Here is a 14,413-nt window from a genome sequence, read left to right on the forward strand (position 1 = left end):
TTCAGTCCATGGCCAAATCCCACCTGCAACCTTCTTTTCTGTAAATAATGTTTTATTGGAAAACAGTGATGCTCATTCATTTACTTAACATCTATGGCTGCTTTCATGCTATAACATAATTGACACAGACCACACGTCCATGAAGCCCAAAATATTTACTATGTGACCTTTTACAGAAAAAAATGTGTTGACCCTTGTTGTGTGATATTAATTCACTCACCTATTCACTTATTCAACAACTATTAATCCAGCATCTGCTACTTTATAACTTTAAAAATTTAATGTTACATTAATAAAATTAAGCTATAAAAGTAATGGTACTTTTCAAGAAATCACATATTTAACTGATTAAATTAATAACATTTCAGGTCTAGACATCCATTTTTTTTGGTTGTTTGTGAACTTAGCTATATCATTATCAGTGCAAATGGTCAGAGCTTAGAAATATCTACACACAAAAAGGCAGGGATGAGGCAGAACTGGTAAATTCTGCCAGAAATGTTCTGGGCCCAAGGGTCTTTGGGTTCTTTACTCTTAGCTTGAGGACAATCTATTAACATACCTCCAGAGGTTAGTTCACTGTGGGCAAAGCATCAAGATTCAACTTGAACATCCCTTCCTCCAGGATGCCTCCCTATAACCTCTAGTTTCAAGGAATGATCCTCCTCTAGGTTCCCAAAGCTTCTTTACTCATATTTCTGTCATGGTACTTACCTCATATAAATGAAATTATGTTTTAATACATCTGTTTCTATTAAACCATAAGCTCCTTGAGGACAGGTCTATATCATATTCATTCAAATACCCTCAGCAGTTCACAGAGTGCCTGACGATACTGGATAAAAGACTCTGAAGTCCCGGCTCCTTTTCTTTTCTTTTAATTTTTTTTTTTTGAGAGAGTCTTACTCTGTCACCCAGGCTGGAGCAGCACACTGGCATGATCTTGGCTCACTGCAACCTCCACCTCCTGAGTTCAAGCAATTCTCATGCCTCAGCCTCCCATGCCTCAGCCTCCCATGCCTTAGCCTCCCTAGTAGCTGGAATTACAAGTGTGCGCCACCACGCCTGGCTAATTTTTGTATTTTTAGTAGATACAGGGTTTTGCCATGTTGGCCAGGGTGGTCTCGAACTCCTGACCTCAAATGATCCACCTGCCTTGGCCTCCCAAAGTGCTGGGATTACAGGTGTGAGCCACCGTGCCTGGCTGTGAAGTCCCAACTCTTAAGCAAGATTCTCAAATTCCCTAAGCCTCAATTTGTGTTTGTAAAAAAAGTGCCTCCAGCTTATTAAATTGTTATGAGGATTAAAAGAGATAATGCATGAAAAGCATCTGGCATACTGTCTAGCACATTCCGAGTACTCAATAAATGTTAAATTGAACAGAGTGAGAAAGGTCTAGGGGATCTTAAAGGTACAGATACCCTTTGGACTCAATCCTATGACCAAACAAAGCCTGGCAATGAAAATGGAACAGACCTGGCCTACTCAATGTGTCAATCCCTTCTCACTTGCCATAGAAAGTAGAGGAGAGGCCCCTGAATGCCATTTGTCAGTTCTCCAAACAACCAGTTATTGGAAACAATAGATTTTGTATGTGTTATGCCCTGACAATGTCCAACACATCTCATAAATCCATCAAAGTGCAGGCTCAGTATGTTCTCACCTATATCTCAGACTTTAAAAATATTTTTATTAGTTAGTGCTGGGCAATATAAGGTGACTTACATATTCCACTGCAGGTAATTCAGACAAAGAACAGAGTTTTAAGAATATCCACTGAGTTAAAAATCTATTTTCCATTAGGTAGGAGTGATTTATTGAACAGGTTAATGAATAGACCTCAGAATGAACAGACACTAGATCACTTCTAGAAAATGTGCATTTCATATTAATGTCATGAAAAACCTCCAGTTGGCTAAAGCATAAGGGCAGTCATTACATTTGTGTATGACTCAAACTCTGAATCCTGAACTAAATTTCTCTGGATTCAAATCTAGCTCATATGCCTACTCTGACAGAGGCATGGTAGGAAGAGCTGGAGGCTAAGTTCTCAGGCTTTTGGACAACATAGCCTCCAGTGATCTCAGCAACTTCACTGTCCAAAACCCATTTTGATGAAGGGCAGCTGATAGGATGCCAGATGAGAACATGTAAGAGAGATGGAGCTTAGTGTAAGGCATGTTCGGTGAGGATATCTGTAGGTTGTTGTGTTCTTGCTTTGCTAAAAGGTAGAACTGGAGGGGTGTTTTGTCCTAAGGCCACTGATGCTTTCCCTGAAGCTCTTACAACACTCCATTATTCCTTAGAAATTAGTCTATGCTGATTCTCCAATATCATACTAGGGAAAAAGTAGGGAGTGTAGAATGTGTGTGTGTACGCGCACGTGTGCACGCATGTGCATACACACACACATGCATGTTTGAGGAAAATAGATGACTCAGCCAGCCAGTATTCTGGAAATGTAGTTAATGAGCCAAGTGAAATTATTAATTAACTTTATTTTGGTAAGGTCTTTGGAAGAAATAAAGTGCAGTATTGTCATTATTAATTGCCATAATAAATATTTCTGTACATCTTATGTAATAATATGCATCAAAAAAGAATGAAACATAACCCACCTTTGCATATACTTCCCTTCTGGGACTCCATTTTATTTGAAAGTATCATCCCATTTTTCATATATCTTCAGAAAAACCATTTGTTGGTATTGACTAATAGAAATCTGTTCGTGGATGGCCAGGCATGGTGACTCATACCTGTAACCCCAGCACTTTGGGAGGCCGATGTGGGGGGATCCCCTGAGGTCAGGAGTTTGAGCCTGGTCAACATGGTGAAACCCCGTCTCTACTAAAAATACAAAAATTAGCCAGGCATGGTGGTGCATGCCTGTAGTCCCAGCTACTTGTGAGGCTGAGGCAAGAGAATCACTTGAACCTATGAGGCAGACGCTGCAGCGAGCTGAGATCAGGCCACTGCACTCCGGCCTGGGCAAGACAGCGAGACTCTGGCTCAAAAAGAAAAAAAAAAAGAAAGAAAAGAAATCTGTTCATGGATGATCAAATAACTACTTTTATTCCATTGCAAGTTTTAAGAAGTCAATCTTACAAAGTTTCACTGCTCCAAGAGGAGTAGAAGGAAGAAAGAATAATTGCTTTTTATCTCAGGGTGGAAAAAGCAAAGAAACCAATAAAAAACTGTAGGTTTTCTTTTAAATTCATTGTAACACAAAATACATTGTGGCTAAGAAAATAAAAATATTTCTCAAATAAAATATTTCTTTAGGAATTCATAATATAAGACAGAAAGTAGTTTCAAAGTGCAAAAACTGCCTTGGAAGAGCTGTTTCTATGGAAATGATGATGCAGGTAAAGCTCACCTTCATGGTACCAACCTCCCCATTCCAGACTCTTTTTTCATACTCCCAACACTCTATGTAGCTAGACGCAAGAGAAAGCCCTTCACATTATTTCTATTTTCAGGATCCAAAACTCCTGGATATTTGTATTTTAAAAGAGATCACATATCTAACCATCTCCTTCCTCTTCTTTCTGTTCTAAAATGTAGCTGAGTAGAAGCTAGGTTCATAGGAGGTTTAGGACACATTGAGAGTGTGAGTAATTGACAGAATAAGGCTGTCTGTCGAGATGAACAATTTCCATCAGTTTCTATGCTCCCACCCCAACCTTTCCATATCTTGATATTCCTAATCATGATGGTGAGAGGAGTTGTTCTTGAAAAGTATGTGTGGGGGGTGAGGGGAACCACAGAAAAAAGTGATCACTAAATCCAAAGGAATGGAAAGGGTGGAAATAAGGATGGAAATTCAGGGAGGCATCCGGATGGGAAGTATGTTTGCAGAAGAGATCTGTCTAGTGTTCCTTGAAGCACTGCCTAAAATAGCAGCCTACTTTTCATCTGCAGTAATTCACTGTTGAGTATTTACAAAAATAAACCATCATTTCCATTCTTATGATTCTTATGATTTTCATCCTGCAACTGTATCACAGAAAGGCATTTTTCCTGTGGAAGTGGGCAATAGTTGCTGCACATGACTAAGGCTTTGCATACATTCATAAAGGTGGCTAGATTGTACTGTGTGCTCTTTTGAGTTCAGAGCAACCTGTTTCTAATGAAAGGAACGTGTGCCTCTCTTGTGCCTTCATAAATACAGAAAAGAATGTACAGGGAATCAGAAGATCAGGTTCTAGTCCTGGTTCTGGCTGGCCTTGAGGCTAAATCAGGTCACTTAACTTCCCAAACCTTTGTTTTCATATCCATGAACAGAAATAATAGTTGATCTTCCTGCCTGATAAAGTTGTTGCGTAAAACTGCTTTATAAATCAAACAGTGCTATTCAAGCTCCACAATCGCTACGTTGGAAGGGTCTTTAGATATCACCTAGCACTACTTATTTTATACATAAGAAAGCTGAAGTTCAGAAAGGTGAAATGGCTTGACCTAGATTAATCATTCTTACTGAGGCTGCACATTAGAATTGCCTGGAATGCTTTTTCAAATATTGCCACTTGATCCCCACCTAGATATTAGATCAGAAGTTATGGGCTTGGAGTCTACTAGGCACTAGTGGTTTCTAAAGGCCCTCAAGTGATTCCAATGTGATCGAAAACCATTGCCCAGATAATATAACTTATAAAGAGTGGAACCAGGAACTAGCTTGGTCTGCTGCCTCCCACCCACAAATCACTCGGCCACACCAGAATGTTGTCCAACAGCTGGGAGGCTGCAGGAGAGAAGTCAGTGATGCCCTCTCTGAGTAAGCATCAGGATTTCCTTGGCAAAGCTGTTCAGCAACTGCTTGGGTTGGGAGTTTGAGTCATCTCTGCACCTACTGGCTCTGTCACTCTGTCAGATACAGGGCAATACCTTGTTTTCTGGCATTCCTTGCCTGACCACCAACCACTCCTGGTCCCATACCACCCCCACCACTCTCAGAACTAGTCAGTAGAAATGTTCACATTTACCCATGTAGCAAAAAGCTCCTTTCCTCAAGAAGTGACTGAATTCAGGAGTTACTCCAAGACAAGAAGAGGCAGAGGTTTCTGTGGTAAACTTTAAAAGACTTTAAAAGAGCCTTTTAAATATTGTAAAGAAAATCACTAGGGTAATGTTTCTCAGCTTGGGGTATTTACTAGAAGTACATCAGTGCCCATAGTAATTTTTAAAACTCCGTTTTCATTTTTTTGATAATCTAAAGAAAATAAGCCTGTTTAGATAATCTGTAGGAATATTTTATATCTGATAATTGCCCTACTTTTAGTGCCCACATTTGCATGTGGCTTCACTATCACATAGGTGCTAAACAGTGTAACTCTAATTGACATGGCTATGAGAAAATGCTAGAGTCAATGAGATATGTAAATGAGGCATTAGTACAGAGTAAGGGCCAAATGATGTTACAGCCAGCTATTCAAAGGCAGGAAATAACAGTAGTTCTAATGGAGAAACAGAGTGGGCAAATGGAGTCATTACCAGGCACACTGCAGCACAGGCATGTTGAGCTCAAAAGAACCTAAGCTACAGCATTCAGTATGCTATCTGTCCTGTGAGCTAAGATTCAGTTTCAGCAAAACAGTATAATCTATCATAAGTGTAAGAAACCTTGTAACAAAAAGGGATTTTCATGGGCAAGATGCTAATTACTAACATTTAGATATGAATTAAGAATCCATGGAAAGGATAGGGTAAAGGGGCTAAGACGAACTGAAAGCAGATGGCCTGGTGACTCCAGGAGTGGGAAACCAAAACAAACTTTGGGAAAAAGTCAGACAGACCATATAGCAGATAGAATCCAGAATGTGCTGATGTAAGTGAAGGAACTGAAACAGTGCTAGATACACTTGCCAACGAGGTCTAGGAGACCAGAATGCAGGGTTGGGGCACAGAATCTGGGACACAGAATATAGACTTTAGGGGCACAAAGGGGACTGGGAGGGAGAGTGGGCAGACCTGGGTTAAACAAAAAAGAGGAGAGAAAGCTATGCTTCCTATTACTGGTACACTGAGGTTTACTGTAATAGTAGAGGTTGAGTGTATCTTCTAGTCTTCGAAACAGTCATGGCAGATGTCTGAAGATTCAGACTTTCCTGAAGAATAATTTTAAGACTGTCCCTGAAGTCTGCAGGTGGATGAACACTAGACCTCAAGAACATCAGTCATTACTGGGCTTATAACTCAGAAGCCAGAACTGACAGGGAGGCTACTAAGTCTAGGAGGTCTAAATGAAAGTAATTCATTTTGAAGGGCTAGCAATTCATGGATAAGGACATGTTCAAACATAAAAATACATGATAATATCTGAGGGCCTTAGGCCTCTTGCCCATTTCTTTTGTATTTAGGAGATTTTGCTTTACTTCATTAGAATAATAACATATTAACTAAGTTACCAATACACCAGTGGTTCCAAATTTTCCATACAAAGACCTGAAATCCCTTGGGAGATCAAATGGGAAGATTAAAGGCATTAAAAGTTCTGAGACTAGATAAGGAGTAAGAAACGGAAGGTGCAGTCAGCTATGCAACCATGCCCATGGGGAATTCTGGCAAATAGGACTTGTGGGAGAAAGTGATGTGTTCATTCTGTGACATGCATGTAGCATGATATGCATACAGCATATACAGAATGAACACATGAATACAAAACTAGCTTGGAGATCTTTCAGATTTCCTTAAAAAATACTTTCATCACAAAAATATGTACTTTTCCATTTGAATATGAAGTTAAAGATAAACTTAAGAATGACCCACCTTACTCCAAGCATAATTCCAGGTCACATAACTGTTGCCTCCCAGAAGATCCTTGAGCCAGGTGACTGGGTTTTTATAAATCTGACCACTTTCTACCTTAAGTTTACCATTCAATAAAATACTGGCTTTGTGGGTAGTCTCCTGAAGTGAAAAATAAAACAGAAATTAAGGTCAAAAATAGCTGAAATATGTGAATTTTTGCTTCTGGCCATGACAAAGTAACAGGGACCACATATACCCTAACACCTGATGTATTTTTGTATATAAATTTAATGTATCTAGAAATGGTCATAAGGGCATGCAGCAAATGATGAACCATCTAGTCAACAAAATCTACAAAAATCAGATTAAAAAGGTGAGAGTCTATGGTATTTGAACCAAGACTGCATCCTCCCTCCCCACTCCCAGCTCTGTGAAGTGGAGACTCCACTCTAGATTGCTGTAGTCAAGACTACAGGGCTCCCTGTTACAGGGCTGTCTTCCTGGGAGGGGCATAACTTCAGCATTTCTCATCCTGCCCCCAGCTACTGTTGCTAAGGCTAAGTTGCCAGCAGCTATAACCAAAGGGTAGAGGCTCCCTTCTCCTGCCCAGCTCTGAGTGGTGAGACAGAGGCTCCACCTTTGGCACGGCACCACGGAGAATGCTGGGATCCCAATCACCCTTGCCTTGGCTTGTAAGGTGGTGGTTTCACATTGGGAGAGGCAAACGGAAAACACATGAAGCTACTGCCTCCCCTCCACCGAATGCTCAGCTCCTAAAGCAAGAGTATCACTTGAAAAATCACCTTTGGCCCCACCCTCAGCTCCAGGGCCATGGCTCAGGGATTCTGCCTGAGAAGAGAAGCAAGGCTTAGAACAGATAGCTCCTAATCTCCTCCCGAAGGAACTAACTTCATTTGCAACAGAGCATGAAGAAGTTCAAGCTCAAGGGCACTATCAGAAATAGTAGAAGTTGTGGTAAAAGGCAATTGTGAGTAGACTGGTAGATTCATTTGAGATGTAGGCTAAGCTGTAGGCAGGCGAGTTTGTAAGAGACAACTGGGAAAAGAGCTGGCAGGAGCCTTCCTAGGTTCATAATAAACTTCAAACACTGACCTTGGGAACTATCCCTTCAAAGGAGCCCACCTTTGCTTGGATTAGTCTGTAGAGCAATTTGTCCCCCTAGGACATTGTTGAAAACAATAAAACAGTCAATGGGCAGTAAGTGGAGCTTAAGAGCCATGGGTGGTCAGGGAGGTCAGGGAAAGAGGTGGCCAAGGCTTTAGTCCCTGAGGCTCAACATTGGAAGTTTAGCACTGAAGTGGGGACTTCACTAAAACAATCTAGCCAGTAATTAAACAAACAAGCAAATAGCAATAAGAAGTCCAAGAGAAGGTGGGGTAGAGTTGCTACAATGCATTGTCTAAAATGTCCAGTTCCAACAAAAAGTTATGAGACATACAAAGAAACAGCAAAGTATGACACACACACTGGGAAAAAAAACAGACAAGAGAAACTGCCTGTGAGAGTGACCAGACACTGGATTTAACAAAGACTTCAAAATAACCATTATAAATATGTTCAAGGAACTAAAGAAAACCATAATTAAAGACATTAAGTAAGGAATGATGACAAGGTCACATCAAATACAGAATATCAATAAAAAAGAAAAATTTATTTAAAAAGAACCAAATAGAAGTTATGGAGTTGGAAAATAAAATAACTGAAATAAAACATTTACCAAAGAGGCTCAACAGATTTAAACTGGCAAGAGAAAGAATTAGTAAACTTGAAGATATTGATACAGAGTATGCAAGACAAAGAAAAGAGAATAAAAATGAAAATGTCTCAGAGAAATATGGAACACCATTAAGCATACCAATATATGCATAATGAAGGAGAGGAAAAAGAAGCAGAAAAAATATTTGAAGAAATATATGCCTAAAAACTTCCCAAACTGGCCGGGCACGGTGGCTCACACCTGCAATTCCAGCACTTAGGGAGGCTGAGACAGGCAGGTCACCTAAGGTCGGGAGTTTGAGACCAGCCTGGCCAACGTGGTGAAACCCCTGTCACTACTAAAAATACAAAAATTAGCTGAGCATGGTGGCAAGCTCCTGTAATTCCAGCTACTTGGGAGGCTGAGGCAGGAGAATCGCTTGAACCTGGGAGGTGGAGGTTTCAGTGAACTGAGATTGCACCACTGCACTCCAGCCTGGGCAACAAGACCAAAACTGTGTCACAACAACAACAACAACAACAAAAAAAACTTACCAAACTTACTGAAAAGCATTAATCTACACATTCAGGAGGCTCAATGACTCAAGTAGGATAAATGCAGAGATCCACAGACACATAGTAAAAATATCAAAAGTCATAAGACAAGGAGAAAATATTAAAAGCAGCAGGAGAAAAATAACTCATCATTTACAAGGGAAACTCAAGAAGATTAACAGCTGTGTTATTATCAAACAATGGAGGCCAGAGGCAGTGGAATGACATATTCAAAGTGTACAAAGAAAAAACTATTAACTAAGAATCCTATATCTAGGAAAACGATCTTTTAAAAATGAAGGCAAAATAAAGACATTCCCAGATAAACAAAAACTGAGAGACTGAGAAAATTGGTTGCTAAGAGATCTGCCTTACAAGAAATAATAAAGGAATTCTTCAGGTTGAAAGCCAATGACCCTATAGGCTAATATGAATCCACATGAAAAAACATACAGTACCAGTAAAGGTAATTATGTATTATAAAAGACAGTATAAATGCATATTTCTTCTCTTTTTGTCTCAACAGATTTTGAAAAGCAATTATAAAAAACAATAGATACAGAAGTTAGTGCTGGGCCTATAACTTATAGAAATGTAATATATTTGCCAACAGTAGCACAAAAGAGGTAGGTGGGAGCAAAGCTTTATTGGGCTAAGGAAATGACTCCACATGGTAACTCAAATCTACAAAAATAAATGTAACAATCCAGAAAGGATAAATAAGAAGGTAGGTATAACAAAAGCTATAAATATGTATTGCTTTCCTTTCTTCCATCAGCTTCTTTAAAAGTCACAAAATTTTACAAAGCAATAATTATATCAACGTATTGTTGGGTTTATAAATTTATAAACATAATATGTATAACAATAATATCATAAAAAGGAAAAGGAATAATGCTCTACAGAAGTAACATTTCTATATTTTACTGGAATTAAGTTAGTATGAATCTGAAGCTGATTCTGATAAGTGAAAATGTATGTTGAGTCCTAGAGCAGCTACTGCAAGCACAACTCAAAAAATATGATGAAAAGTCATTAAAGAAATTAGAATTCTACATTGGAAAATATTCACCGATTGCAAAAGAAAGCAATAAAGGAAGTATAGAGGAACAAAAAGATATGAGGTATATTGAAACAAAAAATAAAATAGAAGACATAAATCCAACAATATTAATAACAATATGAAATGTCAATGGGTTAGTCAACCTAGTCAAAAGGCAGAGATTATCAGACTGGACTAAAAAAAATAAGACCCAACTATATAATGCATATAGGAGACAGATTTTAGATTCAAAGAGACAAGTAAATTTAAAGTAAGAGGACAGAAAAAGTATATCATATAAACCGCAACCACAAGAAAGCTGGAATGGCTATACAATATCAAACAAACTAGATCTTAAAAGAGAAATTGTTACAAGAGATGATGGGGGACATTTTATAATGCTAAGAGGCTTGATGCATCAGGAAGATATAACAATTATAAACATATATGCACTTAAAACACAAAACAGCATGAAAATACATGAAATAAAAATTAACAGAAATGAAGGGAGAAATAGTTCAACAGTAAAATACTTCAATATCCCACTTTCAATAACGTATGGTAGTCCCCTTATCTGTAATTTCATTTTCCATGGTCAACAGTGGTTGGAAAATATTAAATAAAAAATTCTTGGCCGGGCATGGTGGCTCATGCCTGTAATCCCAGCACTTTGGGAGGCTGAGGCAGGTGGATCACAAGGTCAAGAGATCAAGACCATCCTGGCTAACACAGTGAAACCCTGTCTCTACTAAAAATACAAAAAAAAAAATTATCCAGGTGTGGTGGCGGATGCCTGTAGTCCCAGCTACTCAGGAGGCTGAGGCAGGAGAATGGCATGAACCCGGCAGGCAGAGCTTGCAGTGAGTGGAGATCAGACTACTGCACTCCAGTCTGGGCCACAGAGCGAGACTCCGTCTCAAAAAAAAAAAAGTCCTGAAATAAACAATTCACAAGTTTTAAATTGCACAATGTTCTGAGGAGTGTGATGAAATCTCACACTGTCCCACTCTATCCTGCCCAGGATGTGAATCATCCTTTTGTCAAGAGTAATCACACTGCATATGCTACCTGCCCATCAGTCACTTGGTAGAAATCTAGGTTATCAGATTGCAAGGCTTGGGTTTGAGTAATCTTTATTTAATAACATCCCAAAGCAAAAGAGTAGTGATGCTGGCATACTGTTATAATCATTTCTTTTATTATTATTGTTAATCTGTGCCTAATTTATAAATTAAACTTTATCATGGGTATGTATATATAGAAAAAAAACAGTATATACAGGGTTCGGGACTATCTGTGGTTTCAGGCTTCCCCTAGGGTTCTTGGAACATAGCTCCTGCATATAAGGGGGCACTACTATATAGATCAAACAGGCAGAAGATCAGTGAGGAAAAAGAAGACTTTAACAAGGCACTATAAACCAATTAGACTTAACAGGCGTCTATAGAAAACTTCACCTAACAACAGGAAAATACATATTCTTCTCAATTGCACAGGGAACATTCTTCAGGATATGAGCTAAGCCATAAAATAAGCCTAAAAATTTTTAAAGAACTGAAATAATTTACATTCCCACCAACAGTGTAAAAGCATTCCTATTTCTCTGCAACCTCGCCAGCATCTGTTATTTCTTGACTTTAATAATCGTCATTCTGACTGAAATGAGATGGTATCTCATTGTGGTTTTGACTTGCATTTCTCTAATGATCAGTGATGTTGAGCTTTTTTTGGTGTGTTTGTTGGCCACATGAATGTCTTCTTTTGAGAAGTGTCCATGTCCTTTGCTCACTTTTTAATGGGATCATTTGTTTTTTTTCTTGAGGATTTGTTTAAGTTCCTTGTAGATTCTGGATTAGACCTTTGTCAGGTGGATAGATTGCAAAATTTTTCTCCCGTTCTGTAGGTTGCCTGTTCGCTCTAATGATAGTTTCTTTTGCTGTGCAGAAGCTCTTTAGTTTAATTAGATCCCATTTGTCAATTTTTGCTTTTGTTGCAATTGCTTGTGGCGATTTCATCATGAAATCTTTACCTGTGCCTATGCCCCAAGTGGTATTGCCTAGATTTTCTTCTAGGGTTTTTATATTTAAGTCTTTAATCCACCTTTAAAAAAATTTTTTTTTTATTATACTTTAAGTTCTAGGGTACCTGTGCACAACGTGCAGTTTCGTTACATATGTATACATGTGCCATGTTGGTGTGCTGCACCCATTAACTCGTCATTTACATTAGGTATATCTCCTAATGCTATCCCTTCCCCCACCCCCACCCCATGACAGGCCCCAGTGTGATTTTCCCCACTCTGTGTTCAAGTGTTCTCACTGTTCAATTCCCACCTATGAGTGAGAACATGCAGCGTTCGGTTTTCTGTCCTTGCGATAATTTGCTGAGAATGATGGTATACAGCTTCATCCATGTCCCTACAAAGGACATGAACTCATCTTTTTTATGGCTGCATAGTATTCCATGGTATATATGTGCCATATTTTCTTAATCCAGTCTATCATTGATGGACATTTGGGTTAGTTCCAAGTCTTTGCTATTGTGAATAGTGCCACAATAAACATACATATGCATGTGTCTTTATAGCAGCATGATTTATAATCCTTTGGGCATATACCCAGTAATGGGATGGCTGGGTCAAATGGTATTTCTAGTTCTAGATCCTTGAGGAATCACCACACTGTCTTCCACGATGGTTGAACTAGTTTACAGTGCCACCAACAGTGTAAAGGTGTTCCTGTTTCTCCACATCCTCTCCAGCACCTGTTGTTTCCTGACTTTTTAATGATTGCCATTCTAACTGGTGTGAGATGGTATCTCATTGTAGTTTTGATTTTCATTTCTCTGATGGCCAGTGATGATGAGCATTTTTTCATGTGTTTTTTTGGCTGCATAAATGTCTTCCTTTGAGAAGTGTCTGTTCATATCCTTCACCCACTTTTTCATGGGGTTGATTTTTTCTTGTAAATTTGTTTAAGTTCTTTGTAGAGTCTGGGTATTAGCCCTTTGTCAGATGGGTAGATTGTAAAAATGTTCTCCCATTCTGTAGGTTGCCTCTTCACTCTGATGGCAGTTTCTTTTCCTGTGCAGAAGCTCATTAGTTTAATTAGATCCCATTTGTCAGTTTTGGCTTCTGTTGCCATTGCTTTTGGTGTTTTAGTCATGAAGTCCTTGCCCATGCCTATGTCCTGAATGGTATTGCCTAGGTTTTCTTCTAGGGTTTTTATGGTTTTAGGTCTAACATTTAAGTCTTTAATCCATCTTGAATTAATTTTTGTATAAGGTGTAAGGAAGGGATCCAGTTTCAGTTTTCTATATATGGCTAGCCAGTTTTCCCAGAACCATTTATTAAATAGGGAATCGTTTCCCCATTTCTTGTTTTTGTCAGGTTTGTCAAAGATCAGATCGTTGTAGATGTGTGGTATTATTTCTGAGGGCTCTGTTGTGTTCCATTGGTCGTCTATATCTCTGTTTTTTTTTTTCTTTTGAGACGCAGTCTCACTGTGTCGCCCAGGCTGGAGTGCAGTGGCGCAATCTCGGCTCACTGCAAGCTCTGCCTCCCGAGTAGCTGGGACTACAGGCGCCCACCACCATGCCCGGCTAATTTTTTTGTATTTTTAGTAGAGATGGGGTTTCACTGTGTTAGCCAGGATGGTCTCGATCTCTTGACCTCCACCCATCTCGGCCTCCCAAAGTGCTGGGATTACAGGCGTGAGCCACCGTGCCCGGCCTATATCTCTGTTTTGGTACCAGTACCATGCTGTTTTGGTTACTGTAGCCTTGTAGTATACTTTGAACTCAGGTAGCGTGATGCCTCCAGCTTTGTTCTTTTGGCTTAGGATTGTCTTGGTGATGCAGGCTCTTTTTTGGTTCCATATGAACTTTCAAGTAGTTTTTTCCAATTCTGTGAAGAAAGTCATTGGTAGCTTGATGGGGATGGCATTGAATCTATAAATTACCTTGGGCAGTATGGCCATTTTCACGATATTGATTCTTCCTATCCATGAGCATGGAATGTTCTTCCATTTGTTTGTGTCCTCTTTTATTTCGTTGAGCAGTGGTTTGTAGTTCTCCTTGAAGATGTCCTTCACATCCCTTGTAAGTTGGATTTCTAGGTATTTTATTCTCTTGGAAGCAATTGTGAATGGGAGTTCACTCATGATTTGGCTCTCTGTTTGTCTGTTGTTGGTGTATAGAAATGCTTGTGATTTTTGCCCATTGATTTTGTATCCTGAGACTTTGCTGAAGTTGCTTATCAGCTTAAGGAAATTTTGGGCTGAGATGATGGGTTTTCTAAATATACAATCATGTCATCTGCAAACAGGGACAATTTGACTTCCTCTTTTCCTAATT

At 39.2% G+C, this 14,413-nt stretch overlaps 1 protein-coding gene across 14 annotated transcripts in view; it reads right to left on the reverse strand.

Moving 5' to 3' along the window:
• ANKRD31 (ankyrin repeat domain 31) overlaps positions 1–14,413 on the reverse strand; it is a 168,582-nt gene that overhangs the window by 16,199 nt on the left and 137,970 nt on the right. For 12 of the 14 annotated variants that reach the window (NM_001164443.1, NM_001372053.1, XM_017009319.2 and 9 more), the window contains one exon: positions 6,766–6,906. The exons of the other annotated variants lie outside the window; for them this stretch is intronic. In NM_001164443.1, coding sequence (NP_001157915.1) covers positions 6,766–6,906 — 141 coding nt within the window. The remainder of the gene's footprint in view (positions 1–6,765; positions 6,907–14,413) is intronic. 14 annotated transcript variants of the gene reach the window in all.

This window comes from Homo sapiens, chromosome 5 (genome assembly GCF_000001405.40).
Source record: "Homo sapiens chromosome 5, GRCh38.p14 Primary Assembly".
Lineage (NCBI taxonomy): Eukaryota > Metazoa > Chordata > Mammalia > Primates > Hominidae > Homo > Homo sapiens.